The 25,632-nt window shown below is 34.6% G+C and overlaps 1 protein-coding gene and 2 pseudogenes across 7 annotated transcripts in view; 2 read left to right on the forward strand and 1 right to left on the reverse strand.

Moving 5' to 3' along the window:
* The window catches only part of EFCAB7 (EF-hand calcium binding domain 7), a 61,846-nt gene that overhangs the window by 6,470 nt on the left and 29,744 nt on the right, over window positions 1-25,632 (forward strand). For 4 of the 6 annotated variants that reach the window (XM_011542301.3, NM_032437.4, XM_006710977.2 and 1 more), the window contains exons 3-9: window positions 1,826-2,037; window positions 2,676-2,762; window positions 3,460-3,655; window positions 4,101-4,222; window positions 15,922-16,063; window positions 21,731-21,840; window positions 25,364-25,521. In XM_011542301.3, the coding sequence (XP_011540603.1) occupies window positions 1,826-2,037; window positions 2,676-2,762; window positions 3,460-3,655; window positions 4,101-4,222; window positions 15,922-16,063; window positions 21,731-21,840; window positions 25,364-25,521 (1,027 nt within the window). Of the gene's footprint in view, window positions 1-1,825; window positions 2,038-2,675; window positions 2,763-3,459; window positions 3,656-4,100; window positions 4,223-15,921; window positions 16,064-21,157; window positions 21,222-21,730; window positions 21,841-23,189; window positions 23,328-25,363; window positions 25,522-25,632 lie in introns of those variants that run through there. The other 2 variants (XR_946779.4, XM_047432129.1) reach the window with 2 other exon arrangements.
* On the reverse strand, window positions 6,717-6,776 carry RNU7-123P (RNA, U7 small nuclear 123 pseudogene; annotated as a pseudogene).
* DLEU2L (deleted in lymphocytic leukemia 2 like) lies at window positions 18,986-20,642 on the forward strand (annotated as a pseudogene). Its single transcript, NR_002771.1, has one exon. The product of NR_002771.1 is annotated as a deleted in lymphocytic leukemia 2 like (long non-coding RNA).

Below are 25,632 nucleotides of genomic sequence, written 5' to 3' on the forward strand. Positions count from 1 at the left end.
AAAGTATAATTGTAAACCCAAATTACAGGTGTGAGCCACCACGCCAGTCTAGAATATAAAATTTCTTTGGAACTAAAAAGTTTGTATTGATGAACAAAAATCACCCTATACTATACTTGTGCACAATAATGTTCAATATAACTGACTCACTTATATCTGTATTTATTACCCTGATCTGGTTTCTATTTCCATGAGGATATTTCTTTAGTGAAATTGTTTTATACTTACTGGTCCTTATTACATTAAATTGTACAATATCCAGATTATCATTTTTTGATGCTGATTGGTGATGCGCAGATCTTGTGAATTTCTATAAAGATAGTTGGAACTATCCAATATAAGATTTTGTAATAGAATTTGGCAGTACAATTCAGGACAATTGTATCTTTTAAAATTATGTTAATTCCTTCTGTGGTGCTTAGGAAATTTATCATTGGTTCATTTTAGAAAATGTTATATTTCAGTATGCAGAGATTTATTTGCAAATTACCAAGTTACTTCTATTCAACTGTTCAAAATATCTGCAGTTGCTTTAACCATTTTATTTTAGAGTGATATGACATACATAAATATACAAAGCTTTTCTCACATGTACTTCTTTGCTCTTCATAGATAGAAGGATATGGTTAAAAATGAAGAGTAGTTTGACCATAGCATCTCTATAATAATCTTCTCTCACAGTATATTGACATTCTTGATTTTTAGCAGGACCATGCCTGCAAAGGGATACTTTATGTGCATATATTTGACATTTGGAACATGATTAATGTTTTTGAAAGCTTAGTACCTAGCAAAGATGAACATTTTAGATATCGTGCCTTATTGACATTGGTATTCTTAAATGAATGATTTTCTCATTTCATTAAGATATTTGTTTTTTAAATTCACACATTGTATGTATTTATGGGGTACAATTTGACATTTCAATACATTTATATGTTGTATAATGATCAAATCAAGGTAGTTAGTATATCCGTCGCTGCATGCATTTATCTTTTCTTTGTGGTGAGACCATTCAAAAGCCTCTCTTCTAGCTGTTTTGTAATATACAGTACCTTAATGCTAACTATAGTCACCATACTGTGCAATAGAATAGCAGAACCTATTTCCCACTATCTGATTGTAACTTTGTACCCATTGACCAACCTCTCCCCATCCTCCCCTACCCCCAGAGTACTTAGATAGTACTTAAGTTCCCCTTCCCAGTCTCTGGTAACCACTGATCTATTCTCTACTTCTAGGATATTAACTTTTTTTTTAAGATTCCACACAAGTGAGATACGCTGTATTTGTCTTCAGCGTCTAGCTTATTTCACTTAACATGTTGTCCTCCAGGTTCATCCATGTTGTTGCAGATGACAGGATTTCCTCCTTCTTTATGGCTGAATAGTCATTAAGGTATTTATTTAGCCAGAAAAAGTACTAATTTATACTTTTTGTGTTATCCTTTTGTCCCCCAAACAATTAAGTGGATGGTTGTTTTTAATCTTGTATTTCCTTTAGAAGCTTTTAGAAGCTCTTAAGTAATCAGATATTGTTAGTTATTTAAACCATGTAGGTTGAGAACCAAACTGTCAGAATAAGGAAAATCTATTTAATTCTGGTATTAATAATTAAAGAATGTTTAGGTGGTGGCATAAATATTTTTGTTTTTCAAAGTCAGGCCTATCTTGGTATCACTAGATAAGTCAACACCAAAGTAATGTACTGGTATATGTATAGTGTTTTGTAAATATCATAATACATAATGATTTGAAGAAAAAAATGCGCTTAAGTACAAATTCCAGGTGTTACAATCACAAATAATACTTGTCTTGTTGGGCAGCTCTTCAGCATGCAGGAAGAAATCCATCCCAAAAGACCATTAATAAGTATTGGACTCCTCAAACTGCCAAACTGAATTTTGATGATTTTTGTATAATTTTAAGGAAGGAAAAACCTACTTCAAAAGCAGAACTACTAAAATCATTTAAGCAATTAGATGTAAATGATGATGGCTGTATTTTACACACTGACCTTTATAAATTTCTAACAAAGGTAAGATCTGTAAAACTGTTTTGTAATGTGCATATTTTCTAAAACAGCTTGGAATCTAGCTTTGACTACCAAAGTCCACATTAAAAATAAGTATTTCATTGAGAGGTTAAATGAATTACTTACATGTTATTTATAACGTACTTAGGAATCCTTCTGGATGAAATGTTCTTTGTAAATAAAAGATAAAGTATAAAATCGAGCTTATGTTACCATCCCCTTGTTCTCCTATTTAATTGGTTCCTGTTCAGAACTCTTTGAAAATCAGTGATAGTTCCATATGTGATAAGTAAAAGGAAAACCAAATATAAATGGGATTAGGAATCCATTCTGTTTTTTGATACAATGTTAGAAAATATCATTCCCCTAAACTCAATAGCAGTTATAACTGACTCTATACTATTCAATTGTTAGTTACTATTTAGTAAACTGAAATTCAGCACACTTTCACAAAATTTAATAAAATTGTGAAATTTATATAGCCGCCTCATTCTTTCTTTATATATAATACTCATGATTTATAATGAAGCAATACATTCAGACTTACTTGTGGAAAAGATTAAAATGTGCTTCCACTGTCCCCATGAATAACAAAGGAGTAATCATGTTGCTTTAAAATAAATCTTGTTTTTTTTTTTCAGAGAGGTGAGAAGATGACTCGAGAAGAAGTAAATGCCATAATAAATTTGGCTGATGTAAATGCTGATGGCAAATTTGACTACATCAAGGTACATAAGCTCACATTGATGTAAATTTACATACTGTGTTGGAAAAGTGTTTTTATTTTTCCCCAGCTTTATTAAGGTATAATTGACATTACAGTGTACATGCAATGTTTTGATATATGTATACATTGTGAAACAATTAAATCAGTTAACATGTCAACTAATTAACATGTCAGCAAATTATTTTTAAAGGGATGCATCTTTTTAATATTGGCAATGACATCCTTAAATATTGTGCATGAAATTTAATTTTTCCAGTCCCATAATTGCAATCTGATGACTACATTAAAATAATATAACCAAGTTAAAAAACATGTGTGCTCACACACACGGACAGATACACACATAAACATAGAGACTCTACTCAGAAATGTACTTTTTCTGGGGTGGAAGAATCATAAAAATTATTTTGAACAAATGCAAGCCTACACATCTTGTAAAAAAATAATAATAAATCACCTCTCCTTGTGTAACATTTTATTTTCACACAGAGTATGAACTCCTCATTGAATCACGGCTACATTTCACTAGGTCACTTGAGGCTGGTCAATCTGATTCAAAAAAATAAAATGCGTAACCATCAATAGGAAATATATTCCATCTATCAGTCTGTTCCTTGCCTACTAATGTGCATTTGCTTTCTCCTCTTCCCCAGTGTATGATTGAATGTTTTACCCACTGGACTTTTTTTTTCCTGTAGTTTTGTAAATTATATATGACAACCAACGAGCAATGTCTCAAGACTACACTAGAAAAACTAGAGGTTGACAGTAAATTGATGCGTCACCAGTTTGGAAACCACATCGAAGGGTCCCCTGAAAGGGACCCATCACCAGTACCAAAACCATCACCTAAAATCACAAGAAAAACTGATCCAGAAACATTCTTAAATAAAGGTATTTACTTTTAACACTAAGAATTTCTTGATCAGAAATGAAGAGTCATATTCAGATAAATTTTTCCTTCCATTTCAGCTTATCAGTGATAAAACAAATGAGAATCTAACTTTTGTTAGCTACTATTTCTAGACTCTTTCAGCTGTAAAAATCTATTGAAGTAAAATTTTATTATGGAACTTGACTTAGCTATGCTCATTATATTTTATTAAAACTAAAATTTCAGACTGAAAGGTGACATATTGAAATAAGAATTCTTATTAGAAGCCCATAAATTAGGGATCATTAAAGCCTGATAAATATAAAACTTCTGACTTTATTTCAATAGGGAGAACAAAGAGAATCAAAGTAATACAGTAGATCTTTTATACTGCACTGTGTTTGGAAAAAACTCCTATTGACAACTTTTCATAATGTCAGACCAAATAATCATTACTTGTTGCAGGTGACACCAGGAGTTCTTTACTGTCAGCAACCAGGAAGTTCAAAACATCTGTTTCCTTCACAGTTACCATGGGGGCTAATGGTAACCGAAACTCAAAGTTAATGGAGCCAAATTTAATAAAGGTATAGTATTTTAAGTTAACAGATGACTTTTTCTGAAAAAAATTTGACATTAAGTTTATTAATAACTGTGCAGTGTCTACAGGGAACCAGTAAAGTTTATGAAGTAATTTGAGGTTTTTCTGTGTAATTTCTACCTGTAAGCTAGTGTAATACTTTTAAATTAAAAATGATGAATATTATTATAAGGTCTTCAGTTTGAAAATGGTAACACTCAAGTTTTATAACCTGATGAGTAGATTATCAAGTTATATACTTTGGGAAGCAAATTTTTTGTTTTGTTTAACAAATATTCACCATAGGTGTTTCATATAAATAAATCATTCATTCAATTTCAATTCCTGTGAGAGAATGACAACAAAGTCACTTTGCTAAGTCAATATTTGTAGAGTGTTAATATTGATCTTCTTTCTTTGTTTTCCCTTTCTAGACTCAACCTTTACTAGTTTTCTTTCAACAGAAAATAATAGTTACAGAAATATAAAACATTAACTGGAAACTGCTAGGATACATTAAAAATGTGCACCTAGAGACCTCTGTAAAAGGGGAAAAAATGGTTATGACCACATACTATAACTGCTGTTAGAAAACTGAACTGATTGCTCTCAAGAGCCACATTTTTGTTTCAAATAACAACTCTGTATTTGTTATTGAACTCTGAAGTCCCTTATATCTTTAAATTGCTAGAGAGTGACATTTGTTCTATATTAAAATTTTAAAACATTATCTCCAAGGAATTTTGTTCAGACTGTTTAGGAATCTATACACCCTAAGCAATTTGGTGTGCATGTCCAACATGTTCATACACAATATTTAGTGTTCCAACAATATTACTTTCCACCAATGGAACCTTTTTGTATTTTGCAACTAAATTAATTATTAATAAAATTAACTTAGTTAAATAATTATGGTTTACCTGATTCAAAAGCACAAATAAATGTAATTTTAGCCACTGTAAAGAGAGATATAAATAAATATTAATGTGGATTATGTTAAGTTATAGTAAGACTTTGTCTCTGTGTCATTAGTTGGGCTCATACCAATATAATTTTTAAAATTTAGTTCAATTCAACAAATATTCACTAAGCATGTAATGTGTGCCAGTTATTTTGCTTAGTGTAAAATATGAGCTTGAATTTAAAAATATAAATTTTCATTTGACTATTAACAGTATACCAAGGACTACCTTGGTATATGCTACACTATAGCATAGTATTTATTCATTCATTTATTCAACAAATATTTATTGAATGACTACTGTGTGCCAGTGTTCTAGATGTTGATTAGATTAGTGATCTAGAGTTTTGGGTAGAGATCTACCTGGGCTTGAATCTTAGCTTTATCACTTAATAACTGTGTGATCTTGGGTGAATTTGTCAGCAGCCCTTCAGAGTTTCAGTTTTCTTACCTATAAATAGGGAGTAATTATATTTAGTGTGCTTTGGAAAGATTTAAATCGTATGTAAACATATGTAAAGCATTTAGCACAATGCCAAGGACATTAATAAAGAATAGTGTTAATAATGTTAATACTATTTATTATATACAAAGGACATTAATAAATACTAGTATTAATATTATTATAGAACGAAGAAATAACTGGATGCTTGTATGGGAACGACATGATGAAAGTATAGTTTAAGAAAAGTTAATCTACTGTTGTGTTATATATAGAGACCTCAGAGACACCATCTAAGAGGCCGATAGAGTTTTCCAAATATAAAGTGATGATAACTTGGCCTAGGATAGTACTTAATGTAATACGATAGGGGCAGGTGTAATAGAAAAATGCCAAAATTAGTCTGTAAGTCATAACGATTATTTAACAAAGAGACTAAAGTTTTGTATGTAAGTCAAGAGCAGGGAATGGTGTGGATGATAATTGGGAATTAGGTAAAAGGTACTAAGATAATTTAATGATTAAAAGAAAAGGGCATACTGTCAACTTTTTAATACTGTGAGTTTCATATAAAATGTAATGTCTTTTGGAAATAATTGATAGCTCTGTATATCTTACCTTTTAATATCCTGTTTCGGATCTTGATATTGCCCACTGTTGCTTGCTATCTATTTCTTAGATGAGCTGAAATTATTATTTTTTTAAGTAAGTGACTCTTTTGTTATTCAGCAGCATTCAGTTCTTTGTTTACATTTTTCTTTTCTTTATTTATTTATGCATTTTTTTTAAGACAAGAGTTTCACTCTGTCACCCAGGCTGGAATGCAGGTGGGATCTTGGCTCAGTGCAACCTCCACCTTCCAGGTTCAAGTGATTCTCCTCCCTCAGCTACCCAAGTAGCTGGCATTACAGGAGCATGCCACCATGCCTGGATAATTTTTGTGTTTTTAGTGGAGACGAGGTTTCACCATGTTGGCCAGGCTGGTCTCGAGCTCCTGACCTCAAGTGATCCGTCTGCCTTGGCCCCCCAAAGTGCTGGGATTACAGATGTGAGCCACCACGCCTGGCCACATTTTTCTTTAAGTCTTGTTTCTTCCTGGGTGGTTTTCTGGAAAAACAGAGAACCTGCTAGACAAATTCTAAAAGAACTGTAATACTTGAAGTTTTCTTTTTTTATTTCATAAATTTCATATATTCCTGAGGTTTTATAACCATTCTGAAAAGTACTTGGTTGTGAATGTACAGAATAAATTACTGAAAGGATTGTTAAATTAATTTTCCAGATACTTTAAATTTATTTTAAACAAGTTTGGGTATCTCAACTTCATGTGGAACAGAAAAGTATGGAATTGGGACAGAGAAGGAGGGACTTTTCAGAAATTAGAAAATTGTTGTGATAGATAAGGGTAAGCCATGTTTTAAACCACAAAACCACACAATTGGTAAAGGACTTGAATTACAAAAGGAAAATAAGATCCTTACAGGTACTATACGCATATTACTTTCCATTGGCCATACTTAGTTACTGCATTATTATTCTTTTTAAAATCCCGAATTCTATCCATTTACTTAGGTTCTGTGATGGTCAAGGAATGTCAGGAATTTTCCTTTCAGAGAGGAATAGCTTCACCTTCCTTGCTAAGACCAGTCATGTCTAGAATTAGAGTAAGCCCCAAACTATCAGTTGTAAACTCCAGAGATGCAATACTTCCTATATTCAGATTCTTAGAGTATGCCTACATTTATGTTTTATTCATATATAGTACAACATATGCACACACATCACACACATGTTGTACAACCTATATATTATAAATGTCAAAACATATATAGCATCTACATTGTATACCATTTATATGTTATGTGTATGTCTATATATGGCAATACAAATAAAAACATTTGAAATTCCAAATGGTTCATTATCTGTTTTTTGTGAAAGCTCCAGATAATAATTTTCTTATAAGTTTCTCACATTTTCAAAATGTTGATCAGTTCAACCTGTCAATTAGATTTCAGGCCACATCAATTTTACCCTCCATAAATTATCTATTTAACCTTTTATTTTTTAAGTATGTATAGTTTACAATTCTTTAATAACAAAAAGTGCAACAACTGGTTACCTACCTGTCTTATCATACCCCAAAGCAAATAGCTTCCTAATAAGTATGTGACATAGGAAATCTTTATAAAAAGCAGTAGTGATGATAATGATAGTGATGAGTTCCTCCTCTGACTAAATCTATGGCAGATCTACTGCTTAATAATTCTTTCTCACTGAAAATTTTAATAATACAGAATTTGTATGTTAAAACAAATCATTTTCATTCACTACAGTGTTCCAAGAAAAATGGGACTATACTGATGTATTTGTTTTGATAACAAGAATTTTTTGCTTTAGTATTTGGTTTTGTACTTTTCAGCATTTCGTTATATATTATGAATGAAAATAAGTAAAATTTGTATATGACAAATAAAGGAAATAACAGTTCAGTTTGCACTTATATGAATTTACCTGAATTGGTAGAATACAGCACCACCTCATGCCCTATATAAGAATTACAAGCTATTATTTTATTTCTGCTTTATAATGTCAAAAAATTATATCATACATGGAATTTCTTACTCTTATTCTAAAATTATTTTCAAAACTCAACCTTCTTTCATTTTTCTCTTAATACTCAAACTGTCAGCTTAATCTATAATCCTTTCAAACTGATTTATTTGAATGAGCCAGCCAATTTGTCAGTAATTTTTTCTTTTAGTTCATAACATTTTAGTCTAGGTCCTAGAGAAAAAGCTTTGTATGATTGAAAGTCTATTTGTTTGAAAGGGTATTTTTTTTTCTTTTTCTTTTTTTTTTGAGATGGAGTCTCACTCTATTGCCCAGGCTGGAGTGCAGTGGCACCATCTTGGCTCACTGCAACCTCCGCCTCCCGAGTTCGAGTGATTCTCCTGCCTCAGCCTCCTGAGTAGCTGGGGCTACAGGTGTGCACCACCACGCTGGCTAATTTTTGTAGTTTTAGTAGAGACAGGGTTTCACCACATTGGCCAGGTGGTCTTGAACTCCTGACCTCGTGATCTGCCCACCTCAGCCTCCCAAAGTGCTGGGGATTACAGGCGTGAGCCACCGCACCCAGCCTTGAAAAGAAATTTTAAGTTGAGTAAGCATTGTATGTTTAATAACTCTGGCAGATCTTAAGTTGAATGTTTCCTTTTGAACAGTAGGAGCTATAAGTTCTCCTAGTGAAGTTATTTAGAATTCAAATTGATCTGTATATTACACTGAAGTTTGGTTGATATAAATAATGTGGTATTTGTCTTACTTTAATAACTGTTGTTCTACCATTTTCCAGCTATATTAATCCATATTTAATGTTATAGTATGTAGTTTGGCTGTCTTTCCAAAGAAACTCACAAATTCTCTTCTATTATAGCATTATTTTCTAGACATGGTACTTAGGAAAGACTTATAATAAAAATGTTTAACTTGTTCCCCAGTTAAATTTTATAAAGCTATGTCCTGTTAATCTGTGGCACTGCCCCAGAGGTAGCATCAGCACATTGAAAAATTCTTCCGAAATCTTTGAGTTTCCTAAATGGCACAAATTATGTTTACTACCAGTGTACCAGGCAAAGTACATTATCTTTTAAAGCTTAATTTAACCATTTTTTTAAAGCTGGGGGTAGGGCTGCTGTGCTGATGATTACAGTACAAATTTAAGAAATTTTGCAGCTACTAAATTCTACATTTTTAAAGTAAGAAAACCAAATAATTAAGTTTATCTTAACCCTTAAAAGTATGGAATCCCGATTGATAATGCCTTACCATACTTTATTGTAATATATTCATAAAGTTTATTTTAAAAACTGGCTTAAAAAATCACTGCAGATATTTAAATGTGAAATAGAACAGAACTTAGAATATAACTTACACACTGGAGAGAAAGTAAGGAGACCTAGCTTTTGGTTCTAGTTCTGCAGTCAATTGAGAACTATAGCTGTTCACATATATCACTTTATTTTTCAGACTTTTTTGTCAATCAAAAGAGAAGTCTGGACTAGACTGCTTTTTAGATTTCTTCTACTTTTATAAGTCTGTAATTCTAAAGTATTATCCTTTACCATTCCAAATAGGTAAATATAAAAAATATAAAATATATTGGATGAAATTCCATCTGATGCTATAATCAAAACTGATTGAAAGCATTTAAATGTTTTCCATTTAATGTCAGAATCATAATTCAAACTGTCTCAAAGTGTAACTTGTCTAAATGCTGTATAACATTTCTTTCATTTCTATTCTTTAGCAGTCATCACCATCCAAGGTCATGTTGATTATGTTAAGGGCAATTGGGTCTGAGGTAATGCCAGCATCTGTTGTTAGTCCATATATATGCCCATCCAAGAGATTTACAGGGAAGCTAAATGAAAGTCTGTGTATCATTACTCATCATTAATAGTTGAACTTGGGCCAGGCGCAGTGGCTCACGCCTGTAATCCCAGCACTTTGGGAGGCCGAGGTGGGCGGATCACTTGAGGTCAGGAGTTTGAGACCAGCCTGGCCAACATAGTGAAACCCCATCTCTACTAAAAATACAAAAAATTAGCTGGGTGTGGTGGCAGGCCCCTGTAATCCCAGCTACTCGGGAGGCTGAGGCAGGAGAATTGCTTAAACCTGGGAGGTGGAGGTGGCAGTGGGCCGAGATGGCGCCACTGCACTCCAGCCTGGGTGACAGAGTGAGACTCCATCTCAAAAAAAAAAAAAAAAAAAAAAAGTTGAACTTCAACTTCTGCCACAAGCCCAACTTTGAACCTCATTGTATCACAGATAATAAAAAATTTGAATTCGTACCCTGAGTACATTTTCTTTTAGAAACTTGGTCTAAATGTAGAGGCCAAATGTCTTGGACTCTAGACCTAATATTGCTACAAACTCCTTATAAAACTCTGAACCCATATAATCTCTGGCTACCTCAATTTTTCTGTTTATTAAAATGACTTAATTCATATCTACCCCATACTGCCTCATAGTGATGTTGTTGAAATATTATATATAATGACTTCTTTCTGTCATGGGCAATATACTTAACAAGATAAATTTCAGTAAGTTAAGGTCACATCTTAATTTCTTAGAATTAAAAATACACATATCTTGTATACCCCAAAGGTGTGACAGTGCAGGTGATTAATGACTGACTGAAAGCTTGAGTATAGTTCAGTTTATAATGATAAAATCTTAAAATGCAGTTTAAGAAGAAATTTCCAAAGAAAAGATAAAGATAAAAATAGAAAACTTGTATAAATTGAGAAATAACCAAAATGAAAATAAAAGGAAATAGAGAAAATACATTCATTAACACTCACAGAGTGGTTAATATCTAAAATAGTCAAAAGAATTTATTAAAATATGTAAGAAAAATGCTAAGTCTGCAACAGAGTTATGAGAATAGGAGAATGGGTAATTTATACAAAATAAATAATAAACACATGAGGGAAATGTTCAGCCTTGGTATTAATAATCAGAGAAATTCAAATTAATGCAAAAGTTACTACAATACCATTTTTACTATCAAATACTTGAGGCATATACAAATATATGGAATACCATAATGAATGCTTTATGTACCCACACCTTGCTTATGAAATCATCCCACATCACCCAATTTTTTTATAAAACAATACTAACCAAATAATGGTAAAATTATTACATTATATACCATTGGTGGTATTGTAAAATTGGCAGTACTGTTTTATAAAGCACTATGGGAACACATGTCAATAGCTTTAAAAATATACATACATTTTTGCCTAGAAGTTCTCAAGGAAATTATTCATCAGAAGAAAAGCATTTAGACAAAACAGTATTCTATTAATATTGTGATAAGAAATTAGAAATGACCTAAATGTCTAACATTTTAGAAATAGTTAACTAAATAATGGTATACCAACTCAATGTTTTTGTTTTTTTTTTGAAACGGAGTTTTGCCGTGTTACCCAGGCTGGAGTACAGTGGCACGATCTCAGCTCACTGCAACCTCCGCCTCCCGGTTTCAAGGAATTCTCCTACCTCAGCCTCCTGAGGCTGGGATTACAGGTGCCCACCACAACACCCGGCTAATTTTTGTATTTTTAGTAGAGATGGGGTTTCACCATGTTGGCCAGGCTGGTCTTGAACTCTTGACCTCAGGTGATGCACCCACCTTGGCCTCCCAAAGTGCTGGGATTCCAGGAGTGAGCCACCATGCCCAGCCCCAACACAATTTTTAATCATAGAACCATTTAAATTGAAATTTTGAATATTGCATAGCAAAATGGTTTTTCCTGTGGTAAAATATACAAAACATAAAATGTACCATTTTACTCATTTTTAGGTATACAGTTCTGTATCACTAAGTACATTCACACTGTTGTACAACCATCAATACCACCACCATACATCTCCAGGACTTTTTCATCTGGAACTCTATTCATTAAACAATGACTCCCCATTTCCCCCTCCCCACAGCCCCTGGCAACCACCATTCTACTTTCTGTCTCTCTGAATTTGAAGTGGTCAAATTCACTTAAACCTCATATAAGTGGAATCATACAATATTTGTCCTTTTGTGTCTGGCTGATTTCACTTAGCATAATGTCTTCAAGACTCATTCATGTATAGCATGTGCCAGAATTTTACTCCTTTTTAAGACTGAATAATATTCCCTTGTATGTATTTACCATGTTTTGTTTATCTATTTTTCTGTCAATTGACATTAGGGTTGTTTCTACCTTTTGGCTATTGTGAGCAGTAATGCTATGAACATTGGCATACATACCTGTTTGAGTCTCTGCTTTTAATTCTTCTGGTTCTATACCTAGAAGCTGGAATTGCTAGGTCATATAGAATTCTAGATTTGCTTTTTTGAGAAATTACCATACTATTATTCACAATGCTTCACCATTTTATGCATTTTATGTTCCTATCAACAATGCACAAGGGTTCCAATTTCTCCACATACCAATACTTGTCGTTTTCTGTTTTTTTGATAATAGGTATCCTAATGGGTGTAAGGTGGTATCTCATTGAGGTTATGATTTGTCTTTCCTTAATGATTAGTGATGTTGAGCATCTCTTCATTTGCTTATTGGCCTTCTATATATCTTCTTTAGAGAGGTGATCATTTGATGATTCCTTTGCCCATTTAAAAAATCTGGTGGTTTGTTTTGTTGTTGAATTGTAGGAGTTCTTTATATGCTCTATATATTAATCCCTTTTTGGATATGTGATTTGCAAATAATTTCTCCCATTTCATGAATTGCCTTTTCATTCTGTTGGTAGTGTCCTTTGATGCACAAAAGTTTTTAATTTTGATGAATTCCAATTTATTTGATTGTTGCTTGTGCTTTTGTTGTCATATCTGAGAAACCATTGCCAGATCCAGCGTCAGCTTTCCCCCTATGTTTTCTTCTTAGAGTTTTATAATTTTAGCATATTTAGGTCTTCAGGTTGAGTTAATTTTTATGTGTTGCATAAGATAAGAGCCCAAATTTATTCTTTTGCAGATGGATATTCAGTTTTCCCAGCCTCATTTGTTGAAAAGACTGTCCTTGCCCTCAATGAATGATCTTGGCACCCTTTTTGAAAATCATTAGACCATATAGGCAAGGATTTATTTATGGGCTATCCATTCTGTTCTATTGTTCTGTATGTCTGTTTTCATGCTAGTACCACACCCTTTTGATTACTGTATCTTTGTAGTAAGTTTTGAAATCAGAAAGTCTGAGTCCTCTAGCTTTATTCGTTTTCAACAGCAAAATATTTTGGATATAAAATTAATTTTTAAAAGCAGAACATAAAGCAGTGTTTATTAAAATGTAAAAAATAGGTTTCTACATAAGGTCAGTATTAGAAAGGATTACATGAAAATCTAAGTAGGGCATTAGAATTATAGAGATTTTTAATAAAATATGAAAATAATTGTGACATAAAATAGAAAAATGAGATGTAAGTATGTTAGGATAATTTAGTCTTCTCTTAAAAATGTGAGCATGAAACCGATCTCAATGTAAATTATTTTTGCCTTTGCAGTGATATAATAAATCTTTCTATAATGAATTAGAAAACATTTATGATGTTATTATTATACAGCTAGCATACACCTTTTCAGTAGTTATCAATATTATTAAAGCCTTGAACTTATTATTTAAATATGCTTACTTACATTTCAGGTAGGCAAGCCTACTAATAAAGTGAAAAGCATTTTTGCACATAGCTATGGTAATGACACAATTTTCTCATAACTTCAATAAAGAATCTTCTACTTTGTGTCCAAGATGCCATTTTCAAGTTTTATTCTTTTCTTTTCTTTTTTTCTTTTTTCTTTTTTTTTTTTTTTTGAGACAGAGGCTCACTCTGTCTCCCAGGCTGGAGTGTAGTGGCATGATCATGGCTCACTGCAACCTCCATCTCCCAGGTTCAAGCGATTCTCCTGCCTCAGCCTTCGGAGTAGCTGGGATTACAGGTGTGCGCCACCACGCCCAACTATTTTTGTATTTTTAGTAGAGATGGTGTTTTGCCAATGTTGGCCAGTCTGGTCTTGAAATTCTGACCTCCAGTGATCCACCCGCCTTGGCCTCCCAAAGTGTTGGGGTTACAGGTGTGAGCCACTGTGGCTGGCCAAGTTTTACTCATTTCTAGTTATGAGATCCCATATATGAATTCAGACAAGAAGGGATTTGGCTAGACCAAGAAATGGTAAAGCCAATATAGAAAAGTCTTTCTCAAAAGTGATATTTTATATTCATCGGCATTGTTCTGTAGCTGTGAAACTTCTTTTTTTGAGACAGAGTCTCACTCTGTCACCCAGGCTGGAGTGCAGTGGCATGATCTTGGCTCACTGCAACCTCTGCCTCCCGGATTCAAGCAATTCTCCTGCCTCAGCCTCCTGACTAGCTGGGACTACAGGCGCACGCCACCGTGCCCGGCTAATTTTTGTATTATTAGTAAAGACGGGGTTTCACCATGTTGGCCAGGCTGGTCTTGAACTCCTGACCTTGTGATCCACACGCCTTGGCCTCCCAAAGGGCTGGGATTACAGGCGTGAGCCACCGCTCCCGGCCAGCTGTGAAACTTTTATTCAGCATGCTTCTAGTTATCTACACTTGAAGCAATTATTTTGCTCTTACATTTAAAGTCATTTTTTCTTTCAATATATTTCTTTTAGCAATCCTTAATTCTTCCTTCTTACTGTGCTCCTAGCACTAATCTCATTCTATTACAGCAACATATTTATTTATTACTTTTTTCAATACTTCATTTTTCTTTTCTTTCTTTTTTTTTTTTTTTGAGACGGTGTCTTGCCCTGTTGCCCAGGCTAGAGTGCAATGGTGTGATCTCGGCTCACTGCAACCTCTGCCTCCCTGGTTCAAGTGATTCTCCTGCCTCAGCCTCCCGAGTAGCTGGAATTACATGCACTCATCATCATGCCCAGCTAAATTTTGTATTTTTAGTAGAGACAGGGTTTCACCATGTTGGCCAGCCTGGTCTTGAACTCCTGATCTCATGATCCACCCACCTCAGCCTCCCAAAGTGCTGGGATTACAGATGTGAGCCACCGTGCCCAGCCAACTTTATTTTTCTTACTTCTTCTTTACCTTATATCTTTTCCTAACTTTTCATTATTGAAATGCTATCTATTCTTCATGATATAATTCATCAGTTGCACACTCAGTTTACATCAGTCCCCCAACCCCAATCAATTAGACAGTAAATATTTGTTGAGCCAATGTGTTAGGCACTATTTTAGGAACTTAGATTATAGTAAATTATTTTCCATGTATAATTATCTTTTTGTGTTAACCATATATTACTGCCAATTATAATTGGATTTTTTTGAGACGGAGTTTCCCTCTTGTTGCCAAGCTGGAGTACAATGGCGCGATCTCGGCTCACTGCATCCTCTGCCTCCCAGGTTCACGCAATTCTCCTGCCTCAGTCTCCTGAGTAGCTGGGATTACAGGCATGTGCCACCACGCCCGGCTAATTTTGTATTTTTAGTAGAGACAGGGTTTCTCCATGTTGGTCAGATGATCCGCCCACGTTGGCCTCCCAAAGTGCTGGGATTACAGGCGTGAGCCACCATGCCCTGTGTATAATAGGATTTTGTTATGTCTGTTTTCTACCTCCTAACTATGTTGCACATTCCTGGAGAGCAATGATTATATTTGACATTTCTTTTATATCCCCCTGTGTTTTCTCCTCATTACTATGCATACTGGAAACATTTAATAAATATTGTTTGAAATAATTTTTTCCTTCATTTCAGGACTGGCAACACATGCAATCAAAAGGTTGCTTCTTCTTAGAAGAAGATGGTGAAATCATTAGTCATCAGTACAGGATGCAAATAGCTCAGAGGTCCATGGTTTATCTAACAATTAAGCCATTAAACCTGAGTCAAGTTGAAGGCAAGTTTAAGTTTTTTGTATATTTTTAAAATGTCAATTTGTACCCTCCTTGAAAGTACTTATGTAAGTATTCCATAGTCCTAGTTAGGGAAGAAAATAATCTGCCTAAGTAAGAATTTATGGTTACATTTCAAGAAAGTGTTGGCTTATACATGAACTGTGTTAATCATATGAAAAGCAAGTAGATTGCTTTATATGTTTAAAGCATGTTTTATTAAAAATAAGAACTTTTTCCAAACTTTTCTACAGCTAAGATAGAAGAAAATAAAAGAAAAAAAATGTTAACTGGTTTCCTCATGATATAGAACTAACTTTTTTTTTTTTTGAGACGGAGTCTCCCTCTGTTGCCCAGGCTGGAGTGCAGTGGCTCGATCTTGGCTCACTGCAACCTCCGCCTCCTGGATTCAAGTGATTCTCCTGCCTCAGCCTCCCCGAGTAGCTGGGACTACAGGTGCACACCACCTCGCCCGCCTAATCTTTTTGTATTTTTAGTAGAGACAGGGTTTCACCATGTTGGCCAATCTGGTCTCAAACTCCTGACCTCAGGTGATCCACCCGCTTCGGCCTCTCAAAGGGCTGGGATTATAGGTGTGAGCCACCATGCCCAGCCAGAACTAAGTTTTTATTTGCTAATTAATCTTAGCTTTTTCCATTTGTCAATTTTTAAAATTAATATGTCAAAGAGAAGTACTGCAAGGGGATAATTTGGAACAATATGAAGCTGAAAGTATTTTTAAATACCTTCAAAACCCTTTGTCTGTGACTTAGACAATATTTATTAATAATCTTTGTATTCATGGTAATATTCTAGATAAAAATACTTTTCTAGTGTCTAAAATGGTTATGTAATTTTTAAGCAATGAAAGATATCTATCTATAAGGGTGATTTCCCTAGATAACCTTTTTTAATGTTGGCTGTTCTAAATCAATATTTATTTTTCTTTTATAATGTTTACATACAAGCATTTTCTTACTAAAGGATTCCCACCTCCCCATTCTTTTTCCCTCCTAAAGTAGAGATTTTGAAAGTTTTCACTGCATCTCTTGTGGGATACGTATAATGTTTGGCAGATGATACTTTTAAATGACAATAACAATAGTTATTTTTCAGAGAGAGGAATCAAGATAGCCCTGCAAATTCAGTGTAGTTGTTAATTCTCTGTATTCTTATTAACAAGATTCCTTTATTCATTTATTTATCAAATAGTTATCGAGGGCCTTATATACCAGACATCAGTTTAGGTGTTTAGGATACATTAGAGTTAAAAAAAGACAAAAATCCCTGCCCTCGTCAACTTAAATTTTAGTGAGGGAAACAATACATAATAAACATAATAAATAGTAAATGACATGGTATGTAGGAAAGTGATAAGTGTTATGGGAAAATCAGAGGGAAAGGGGGTTAGTGAGTGCTGAGGGAATGTGGGTTGCCATTGAAATGGAGTGGTTAGTATATGCTTCATTAAGAAGGTGTCATATGAATAAAGACTTTGAAAGAGATGTATGAGTTACCAACTGCTACATAAAAAACTACCCCAAAACTCAGTGGCTTAAAACAATTAAACATTTGTTCACTCATGAATCAGTAGATCTGTTAGTTCTTAGTCTGAGCCAGGCTTGTTTTTTCTCTATAGGGCTTGCTCACACAGTTATGGTTAGCTACAGGTTAGCTGGTGGCTGGCTTTGCTAATCTTGGCTGGGTTCTTTCTTACGTATGAAGTCCCATCTGGGACAACTTGACTCAGCCTCATATGATCTTTAATAATCCTTCAGTAAACTAGCCTGGACCTGTTCTCTTGGCACAATAGGATCTCCTGAGGTTTGGGCTCAGAACCAGCACAATGTTACTTCGTTATATTCTGTTGCTCACAGAAAGTCACAAGGCAAGTCCAGATTCATAGGCTGGGGAAATAGACTTGATCTCTTGATGGAAAAGCTGCAAAGTCACATTGCAAAAGGCTGTAGATACTGAGGGGGACAGCCATTTTTGCTGTCTTCCACAGAAGGCAAGGGAGTAAGCCTTGTGGGTGTATGGTGCTGGAAGGGATGGGTGAAGAGTGGAGGAGGTGGCAGAGTATTCCAGGTAGACAGAATACTCTGTGCAGAGGCTCTGTGAGAGTGTACTGGTGTTAAAAGAACAGAGGCTAGAGTGTCTCAAATGGAGTAAGTGAGGAGAGAGTTGTAGGAGATGAAACCAGGGAGAAACAAGGACAAAATCAGGAAGAGGTTTCTTTTTGCCATAATTAGGACTTGGGCTTTTGATCAGAGAAATGAGGTTTCCCCCTCGTTTTTTGTGAGTTTTATTCTCCATATATAAGGTCAAGATTTTATCTTAATCTTTCATTTTCAGCAGTTTGACTGTGTGTCTAGGTAGTTTTTGTTTTTGTTGTTGATGCTGTTGCCTGGGTTTTTTTGTTTTTTGGTATTAATCCTGCTTGGGGTTCTCTGAGCTTCTTGGATATGTGGCTTGTTGCCTTTCATTATTTTTAGAAAATCCTCTGCCTTATTTCTTCAAATATTTCTTCTGCCCTCTTTCTTCTTCTTCCACTTGTATGGTACCTGACATCTCTTCCTGTTCTGCTCCACCACAGGTAAGCCAGTGCTTGCATCTCGTCTCTCCTGGGAAAGATCTGTCTTTCCTTGGATTTTAAGCTTATAGTTGTCCTGTAACCCCAGCTCTGATGGGATCAAGAAAAGTTATGATTTTGTAGTTCATTAACTTTTTCTTATTGTTAGGAAAGGAGCAATATTCTCCCAACTCTGCTCCATTAGAGGGTTTTGAGTAGAAGGCAGGACATAATCTGATTTATATTTTAACAAGAGCAGTTAGGTTACTGTATTGAAAGTAGGTAGAAGGCAGGGTTGGCTCTAACGAATTTGAATGAGGAGCCTCAGCACTTTTCGGCGCCATTTTCGAGTGATACCTGATCTCATCAATCTAGCGGAAGAGACAGGATAACCTATCCAAGAGTATAGCGCCACTATGACTCCGCCGGAAAAATTACTTTAAAAATCGCCAAAAATTACTTGGAGCAAAGGGCAGTAGGCGGAGCTTCGCCAAGGCTGGCGCAGTCGGTTTTGACCTGTAGCAGAGAACCAATTCTGGAGAACAGCCTCACTTCTTTGATTGAATACTCACATAATGCTTTGGAACAGGACATGAGATTAAGGTTTAATAATGATAGAATGAAGACCATAATAAAAGAGACCTCTACTTACCTCAGCAATTCTTACCTTTCTTACCTATTTGATGAAGATGTCTTTTGAAAGGTGTACTGCAAGGAACAAAATGTTTGTAAATTCTGCTTTTACCAAGGTTTCTTTTTTAGTTGATGCCAAAGAGTTCCAATATTGAACATCTTAAGTCTGTTACTTGGAGTATGGATTGAGTTTGGAGCTTACTCAGAGGACTACAGGAGAGTATCCAGGAGGTGGATAATTACTGTACCTTCCTCATGGAAAAAGTTTTATTTAAAGTGTTATTTCTCGTTGAATACTATCAAAAAGGAAAAAAAAATGACCTAAACTTTTGAGACAGATTTGGCTCTAGTAAGTATTTAGATATATCGCTTGCATATCTGGGAGAAGAAATAAGAGACTATCATCAATACATTCCCATCTACTAAAAAATTTTATTTTACACATGTCAAGGGATTACTTATAACTTCCATTGTCTTTTTTTTAAGCCTATATGCAATGAAAAATATATTGGCAAAATAAATATTTAAACCTTTTATGTTAAAATTACTGTGAAAGATGACAAGTTAGCTGCTGTTTTTGTCTACATTATACTGAAATTAAATGTTTATAATTTATATTTTGGGTTTATTTATTTATAAATCATGGAATTTATGCAAAAAACATGAGTAGTACAGATTCTCCTCTAATTCTGTAGGACTTTGAATAATGTGATATTTTTCTTATAGTTGGACCCTTGTGTTTTGAAGAAATGCCAACTGCTTGAAGAATTTCCTTGTTATTTGTATTATTTGCTATAGGGTTAGATGTTGAGAAATTCTTCTGACAAAAAATTTTAAGCCAGTTTTACACTAAATATTCCTTAGTCTGATTAATTTGTTATTGGATGTATTCTGTATCTTTCTTTTGTAATTTGTAACTTTTATCCACTTAGCACGAATGATTCTATTGAAGAAAATCTTTAGGAAGTGGTAGAAACTTTAAATCGCCCCATAGTTTGCCTGTTTCCACATTTTATTATCTTATAATCTTTGGGAGTGCTTACACTTATGGAGCTAACATTTTCAGAGATACAGGTTCTCATAGTACTACTAAAACTTTTTTCCTCTTTGGACTGAATACCTATGATTATAACTATACAGTAGTTTAAGTTTCCTTGTGATTAGTCAAAAATACCATTTTAGTATGAAGCAATGAAGTCTATTATTTGTTGTCCCATAATTGAGAAACTTAGATACACCTTTTATTAAGAGTTTGTAAATTCTAGCTTAGTCTACACAGATTTTTATATCAATTTGTTTATATTTTTATTAATGTCATTTCTGGAATTGTGAAAATGTTAATGTTCGACAAGCAACATTAAAAATAGATTTGAAACATTAAAAAAAAAAAAAGAAAGTAGATGGAAGGATACGCAGGAGAAAGCAAGGAATCCAGCTGGGACATTATTGTAGAATTCTAGAAGAGGACTGGCAATGCTTTGAACCAGGATGTTGGTGGGAGATGGGGTAGTAGAGATTCTGGGTATATTTTGAAGGCAGAACCATAGGATTTCCTAAGGATTGGTCTTGGTATGTGAGAAAAGAAAAGAGTTAAAGAAGATTCCAAGATTTTTGACCTGAGCAACTGGAAAGACTGAGTTACCATTAACTGAGATGGGCAGCGTTTTAAAAAAAGACTAGGGAAGTCCAGTTTTGGAAATAGAAATCTAGGTAGAAATGTTAAATACACAGTTATATGGGTCTAACATTCAGAGGAAAGATCCTAAAGATATAAATTTTGGGGTTGTCAGCACATAGATGTCTGGCATCTCTTCCTCGTGTGCTCCACCACAGGTAAGCCAGTACTTAAATCCTCTTTTTTTTCTGAAAATCTCTGTTTTTCCTTGGATTTCAGGCTAATTGGTTGCCCTGCAACCTCAGCTTTTGATGAGTTCAAGAAAAGTTATGATTTTTAGAAAGTGAGTATATAGAAAATGTTTCTCACAAGGTTGCTGTATTTAGGTTTGTGCCTTATTGCAAATGCTATCATGTTTACACATAAAAATGGAATATGGGCCGGGTGTGGTGGCTCACGCCTGTAATCCCAACACTTTGGGAGGCCCAGGCAGGTGGATCATGAGGTCAGGAGATCGAGACCATCCTGGCCAATGTGGTGAAACCCCGTCTCTACTAAAAATACAAAAATTAGCTGGGTGTGGTGGCACATGCCTGTAGTCTCAGCTACTCAGGAGGCTGAAGCAGGAGAATCGCTTGAACCCGGGAGGTGGAGGTTGCAGTGAACCAAGATCGCACCACTGCATTCCAGGCTGGGTGACCAAGTGAGACTCCGTCTTGAAAAAAAAAAACATGGAATATGTATTTCTAAAGAAAATATCCAAGAAGAAACTAGTAACTTATTTTTTATATAGGAAAGAATAGATAGTGATTGCTTATTTTAAGGTGTTTGGGCTTTTTTTTTTGTTTGTAGGAAAACCATCCCCTTGGTTATCCGTTGATACTGCCTTGTATATTCTCAAGGAAAATGAGAGTCAAGCAAATCTACAGCTTGTGTGTTTTACCGAACTACGAAATAGAGAAGTATACATATTTATTTTCTAATGTTTAATTTTTAAATATAGTATGAACTGCAGTTTGGGGAAAGTATGTTTCTGTATTTTATTTTTTAAGCTTTCATATACCTTCCAATTAAGGTATAAACAGCACTTAAACACTATAGATATTATATGTTTTTAATTTAATCATATTAAATTAAATTAAATAATTATAAGGATTTTTTCTTGTTTGCTGCGATTTCTTAAGAATTAAGGATGGGAGGAGCTGGGCATGGTGGCATGCACCTGAAGTCCCTGCTACTTGGGAAACTGAAGCAGGAGGATTACTTGAGCCCAGGAGTTCAAAGCCATATTATTCTATGATCTTACCTGTGAATAGCCACTGTACTTCAGCCTGGGCAACATAACCAGACCCTGTCTCTAAAAAAAAATTTAAATAAAGAATTGAGGATTGGTTGGCAGTCTTGAGTCTTGGCTTATACCTTTTAAGTTGTATAATATTGTACCTTACTTTCATCTTTTCTAAATGCCCTGATGCCTCATGTGTGAACATTTGATATACTCAATAAAAAAGGTTGATGCCAGTACATTTTTTTTCCCTAAATGCAAGCAATTCAAGACTTTGGAAAAGCTGCTGTAGACGTTTGTCTTACTTATACTACTACTGCAAAACAGAAAAACTTAAGATTACTATCCTCAGGCTTGACTTATTTTATAGGGTTCAAAAATAGATTGATATGAAAAAATGCTTTTAAATGTTTTTATATGTTGCCCATGGGGTTGTTCTGATCTTTTCTAATAGTATATTTACTCAGAGGCCAAATATGTGAAGCCAATACATAAATGTGGCTATTTATTTTATGAGGACTACAAAATACATCTGCTACACAAAACAGAAATAATGCTATTTAAGGGCTTACTACAGTATCATATTTAATCTTTATATAGGCTCAATGACACACAAACATTTCCCTGATAGAATGTTATATAAAAGTCTTTTTTGTAGGCTTCCTTACAGACAAGAATAGGCAAGAAACAAATAAAATTGGCTGAAGTTAATGTTTTGACTAAACTCTTCTTCAGAACTGACTACAAAGTTAAGTTCAAGATAAAGCATTGTCTAAAACAGTAGCTGTTTCCACTTTGTTTTGGGTAAAATTACTCTCTTATGAGATTGCATGTGTAAAAAAATTAGTATATAGCAAAATTATAATAGAGTTTGCATGAGTTTCTATTTACCTCTTTATAGGCTTCTGTTTATCTGTAATATGTTGTATTTACAAAGGATTTTTTATTTGTATTTATACTTTCACAATTATTTTCTTATAGATGAGTTTTGTGCCCATGAAAAAACTTTCCATTTGTCATCCACAGTGGCAGTGCAAGGTTATGTGTGGAGATAAGGAAGGATCATGGGATAATATATATTAGGAAGCAGCAAGATCTGGTTTTTCACTCCTGAGTCTACATCTAGCCAATTTCAAAGGTTATGCTTTTCAAAGGATGGATTTGGTAAACATTTCATTTTTGTTTGTTTGTTTGTTTGTTTTGAGACGGAGTCTTGCTCTGTCGCCAGGCTGGAGTGCAGTGGTGCGATCTTGCTCACTGCAACCTCCGCCTCCCGGGTTCAAGTGATTCTCCTGCCTCAGCCTCTCAAGTAGCTGGGACTACAGGCGTGTGCCACCATGCCCAGCTAATTTTTGTATTTTTCGTAAAGACAGGGTTTCATCATGTTGGCCAGGATGGTCTCGATCTCTTGACCTCATGATCCGCCTGCCTTGGCCTCCCAAAGTGCTGGGATTACAGGCTTGAGCCACCAGCCTGGCCAACATTTAGTCTTAAAAATGACTTTCGGTTATATTGGATTTCTTCTTGTATCAAAATAGGACCTGGTGACCTTAAGAAGATTATGATTTCTCTGAGTTGCCAGGGCAGAAATGGAACTAAACCCAGAACTTAGATGAGCAACATTATTTCATATATGAGTCTCCAGAATGACCTAAAATATACCTAAGTTGGTTTTTGTTTGTCTGTTTGTTTATTTATTTAGAGATAGGGTCTCACTCTGCTGCCCAGGCTGGAGTGCAGTGATGCAATTCCCTGTAACCTTGAACTCCTGGGTGAAAATGATCTTCCTGCCTTAGCATCTCAAGTAGCTGGGACTATAGATGCATTATTATTATTGTTGTTATTTTTAGAGATAGGATCTCGCTATGTTGTCCAGGCTGGTCTCCAATTCCTAGCTTCAAGCAATCTTTCCACCTTGGCTTCCCAAAGTGCTGGGATGATAGGTATGAGCCACCGTGTCTGGCCTTATACCTGGGTTTTAAAAGGAATTTTTGGACATAATACGTGAAAGGATTCTCTTGGGTTAGTCTGTGCTGAAGGGCACTTAGCTATTACACACAACTAAGAATTGTTTAGATTTAATATATTTAACAGAGACAGCTGCTAGCTTTTATAGGAAACCTTTGGGCTCCAAAAAGCTCTTAGGAGGTACATAGAGAGATACCATTTGCTTTCTTTCTTTCTTTTGTTTTTTTGTTTTTGAGACAGAGTCTCGTTCTATCACTCAGGCTAGAGTACAATGGCACGATCTCAGCTCCCTGCAACCTCCACCTCCGGGTTCAAGTGATTCTCCTGCCTCAGCCTCCCAAGTAGCTGGGATTATAGGCGCCCGCCACCATGCCCAGCTAATTTTTGTATTTTTAGTAGAGGTGGGGTTTCACCAAGTTTACCAGGCTGTTCTCAAACTCCTGACATCAAATGATCCACCCACCTTGGCCTCCCAAAGTGCTGGGATTACAGGCGTGAACCGCCATGCCCAGCCTGCTTTCTTTATAGAACTGGAGAATAAAATGTTTTCCTGTACAAATGTTCTGGTACCCATGATAAATATCCAACATTTGATAGGAAACAGAATTTCATATAAAGCTGGTTTATTTGGGATTCTGTGTCTTATTTTATAGTCCATATTACATTAAAAAAAGTGAAGTTCCAGTGCTTTCATCCACATAATTGAGCTCTTACAAATGTGATTAATTTATACAAATAGTAAACCATTTCAAAATATATTTAATTTTTATTTTATGTCATTGAAATCTGATTTAGATATCATATATTTGAATCAAATTAGGAAACCATAATCTAGAATATTATTACTTTTTTTCAAAGGAGCTCAGTATTTGCATTAAAAAATTACCCTACGATTTATCTTTGCTTCCTGTTGAAGGTATTTGCATCACAGATATTTTTGAAGATTGTTGGGGAAGATTTAGAAGATATATAACTTACCTATTACAGTTTTAGGCATTTGTTTCAAAAATATATAAAGAACTGCTGTATCTAATGATCTCATAATGGGATTACCATTAACAAAAAGAATTTGAAACCTGTAAAAAGACTGATAGGACTATAATAGAATTTGTAAATATTGATTTAAAAATCATTTCTAATGTGTCCCTTTCAGAAGAAATATTAAAAGCTTTAAATTAAAAGATGAAAAGATTAAGACTGATGATTGTTTTATTTCATTGTTTTGAGAAAAGGTGTTTGGATGGACTGGTGAACTAGGACCTGGAATTTACTGGTTAATTCCTTCCACAACTGGCTGTAGGCTGAGGAAAAAAATAAAACCAGTAACAGATGAAGCCCAACTTGTATATAGAGATGAAACAGGGGAATTATTCCTTACAAAGGAATTTAAGTAAGTTTTGTTTATTAATGTTAGAATTATAACATCTAGACTGGATAGATATTAATAGCCTGTGTTACTCCCTTTGGCCAGCTCCCACCCCCATCCTCAGATTCTAATTCA

Source organism: Homo sapiens, chromosome 1 (assembly GCF_000001405.40).
Source record: "Homo sapiens chromosome 1, GRCh38.p14 Primary Assembly".
NCBI lineage: Eukaryota > Metazoa > Chordata > Mammalia > Primates > Hominidae > Homo > Homo sapiens.